The following is a 3,920-nucleotide window of genomic DNA, read 5'->3' as shown; positions in this document are numbered from 1 at the left end:
CTAGGTTTTATTTGTAACAAAAATTTTGATTTAGTCTGATATTTAGTACTACTAATCGGGTTTGAATTTAACAAAGAATGTGGTTTATTCAGGTTCAACTCCCTGATAATTACTGTTTTACACCATATCTATCTAGAATTAACCTACCAGCATTGACGTATTTGGCATTAAGCTATTTTTTTCCTGGAGGATTGTTTGTATGAGTTTTCATTTGGTAATGTTTATGCCTTTGAAGGAATGTATATTGACAGATGTTTGTTAATAAGGATGGATATTTCATTATGAATCTACATCTATTTACTTTCTCAAAGGTTTCAAACTTCCCAAGAATGCGTGCATGCGTGCGTGCGGGCGTGTGTGTGTGTGTGTGTGTGTGTGTGTGTGTGTGTGTCAGGGAAGGAGGTGGTGGGGAGAGAAAGAGAGAGAGACAGACAGACAGAGACAGATCTCTTTTGGCAATTGTGTTAATAGTTCATCTTCTGCTTCCCAGATTTGCATATGCTATTTTTTAAAGTTATTTTTCTACACCTTTATAAGCTTTTCTCTTCTGATCTGAAATGCTTCTGCCTGATGTCCTTCCCATCTAAATTCTTCCCACTCTTCAGGTCCCAATTTTTATAAAATCTTTCTTGATTCTTCTTGCTCCAGTGATTTCTTCCTCTCATTTTGTCAATAAGCTATTTTCTATACTGTGCATATAACACTTATCATATAACTGTAACTTATTATAATATGTTGTTTTATTGTTTTATGAGTGCACCTTGTCTCCCTTTTTTGAGCATCAGACTAATGGAATCTCTACTGAATATTTCTGTGCTGCCTCTTAGTGCCAAGTACTTCCTTGCAAATAGCATATGCTGTTATCCTCCAAGGCATGCTGACTAATTGAGGAGTATTGCTTTTATATACAGCAAAAAAAATCACACATGGAAATATTAAATGAAATATATTAGAGCATTATTTATACAGGCAATAACAAAGAGTTATTTGTACTAATATTGACTTTTTTTTGGTCTAACAGTTCACTACCAGTGGGAAGTATCTCAGAAGCTTGGTCACTGGAAAAATCAAGATACCCACCCTGACAGTAGGATTAACTTGGCTCATCTCAATTATTCAGAAATAAGGGAAAGGAGTTGCATATTCTTTTTTCTTTGCTGTAAAAAGATGACTTTCATGTCTATTTCCCAGCATGTTATTTCAATTGGAGGTCAGTAATATCTGCTGGCCTTCCTAGATGCCAAACATTCAGGTCTTTGTTTTGTCCTGGTTCAGTCACTCCTCCCTATGTCCAAAGTAGAGGCATCCCATGCATTCCTAGAAGCCTATTTCTTATCTACTTCCTTTCCCAAGGCCTCTGGCAGCTTTGCACAGTGGCTAGAGCATCTCATGCAGTTCCTGATATTGTTCCATGTTCCTTTTCAGAAGGCAGTGGCAAGCAAGAGATCTGTTGTTATTAAAGGTTCACAGTTGGGGGGCGGGGAATGACTCACAAACAAGGGAGAGTCTTTCTTACTGAAATGCTCTTAAAGGCCTTGTCTACTTATAAATACAAAGACATTGTTCTCTTCATCATCATAGTTTTAGCACCTAACATCTTGCCTACCACATAGTTGACAATTGATAAAAATTGTCGAAGAAATGCAGGAGATCTGGTGCTCTGTCTTCCAAGAAGGCATCCTTGGCCCACTCAGTGGGAATGATCACTTTCTCCTCTGTGCCCCACTGCACTATGCAACCTCCTTCTCTTGTTCAACTTATCTTAGTGAATGGCACTGATTTTTCTAATGTAGATTTCTCTTTCTTTGTGATTCCTTGATAGCAAGGTCTATCTTACATGTTTTAATACCTCTAATACCAAGTACAAAAAACATTTAATGAAACAGCTCTGTGAAACTGTTACACATACCTTCTACAATTATATCATTAGGAATATTATTTATTACATTTCATTGAGTCCTTTTTAGGAGATTTGTCCAGAAATTTCTCGCTTGTAATTATATTCAGAATACATGTGTTTGTCTTAGACAATGTTTTTTGCTTCCATCTCATGACCACTAAATTTTGAGTCTACTGAAATGTCTAGTTACAATCGGACCCATTCATAGTAAGGATTCAATGTCAAAGGACATAACTTAAGGTAATAAAAGCCGTTTATGACAAACCCACAGCCAACATTATATTGAATGGGGAAAAGTTGAAAGCATTCCCCCTGAGAACTGGAACAAGACAAGGATGCCCACTTTCACCACTTCTATTCAACATATTACTGGAAATCCTAGCCAGAGCAATCAGATAAGAGAAAGAAATCAAGGGCATCCAAGTCAGAAAAGAGGAAGTCAGACTGTCACTGTTGGCTGTTGATATGATCATATACCTAGAGAACCCTAAAAACTCATCCAAAAAGCTCCTAGAACTAGTAAATGAGTTCAGCAAAGTTTCAGGACACAAAATTAATGGACACAAATCAGTATCTCTGCTATACACCAACAGCAACCAAGCTGAAAATCAAACCAAGAACCCAGTCCCTTTTACAATAGCTGCAAAAACAGAAACAAAAACTTAGGAATATACCTAACCAAGGAGGTGAAAGACCTCTACAAGGAAAACTACAAAACACTGCTGAAAGAAATCATAGATGACACAAACAAATGGAAACACATCCCATGCTCATGGATGGGTAGAATCAATATTTTGAAAATGACCGTACTGCCAAAAGCAATCTACAATTTCAATGCAATTCCTATCAAAATACCACCATCATTCTTCAAAGAACTAGAAAAACAATGCTAAAATTTATATGGAACCAAAAAAGAGCCTGCATAGCCAAAGTAAGACTAAGCAAAAAGAACAAATCTGGGGCATCACATTACCTGACTTTAAACTATACTATAAGATCAACAAAACAGCATGGTACTAGTATAAAAATATGCACATAGACCAATGGAACAGAATTGAGTACCCAGAAATAAAGCCAAATACTTACAGCCAACTGGTCTTTGACAAAACAAACAAAAACATAAAGTGGGGAAAAGACAACCTATTCAACAAATGGTGCTGGGATCATTGGCAAGCCACATGTAGGAGCATGAAACTGGATCCTCATATCTCACCTTATACAGAGATCAATTCAAGATGGATCAAAGACTTAAATCTAAGACCTGAAACGATAAAAATTCTAGAAGATAACAATGGAAAAACTCTTCTAGGCACTGGCTTGGGCAAAGACTTCATGACCAAGAACCCAAAAGCAAATGTAACAAAAACAAAGATAAATAGATGAGACTTAATTAAACTTAAAGGCTTCTGCCTAGCAAAAGAAATAATCAGCAGAGTTAACAGACAACCCACAGAGTGGGAGAAAATCTTCACAATCTATACATTTGACAAAGGACTAATATCCAGAATCTATAAATAACTCAAACAAATCGGCAAGAAGAAAACACACAATCCCATGAAGAAGTGGGCTAAGGACATGAATAGACAATTCTCAAAAGCAGATATACAAATAGCCATAAGCATATGGAAAAATGTTCAACATCATTAATTATCAGGGAAATGCAAATCAAAACCAAAATGAGATACCACCTTACTCCTGCAAGAATAGCCATAATCAAAAAATAAATAAATAAATAAAAATACAGATGTTCCCATGGATGTGGTGAAAAGGGAACACTTTTACACTGTTGGTGGGAATGTAAACTAGTACAACCACTGTAGAAGACAATGTGAATATTCTTTAAAGAACTAAAAGTAGATGTGAATATTCCTTAAAAAACTAAAAATAGATCTACCATTTGATCCAGCAATCCCACTACTAGGTATCTACCCAGAGGAAAAAAGAAGTCATTTTACAAAAAAAATACTTGCACCCATGTTTATAACAGTACAATTTGCAATTGCAAAAATATGGAACCAGC

The 3,920-nt window shown here is 36.0% G+C and overlaps 1 annotated feature.

Annotated features, from left to right (window-relative positions):
- Nucleotides 1,272-1,566: a silencer, noted in NCBI's record as "tiled region #14550; HepG2 Repressive non-DNase unmatched - State 24:Quies". NCBI's record gives its function as "represses a minimal TATA promoter and a strong SV40 promoter by Sharpr-MPRA in HepG2 cells {active_cell/tissue: HepG2}" and the evidence as "EXISTENCE:reporter gene assay evidence [ECO:0000049][PMID:27701403]".

The sequence above is a fragment of the Homo sapiens genome, chromosome 9, assembly GCF_000001405.40.
Source record: "Homo sapiens chromosome 9, GRCh38.p14 Primary Assembly".
NCBI lineage: Eukaryota > Metazoa > Chordata > Mammalia > Primates > Hominidae > Homo > Homo sapiens.
This window is presented reverse-complemented; position numbering and strand designations above follow the sequence as displayed.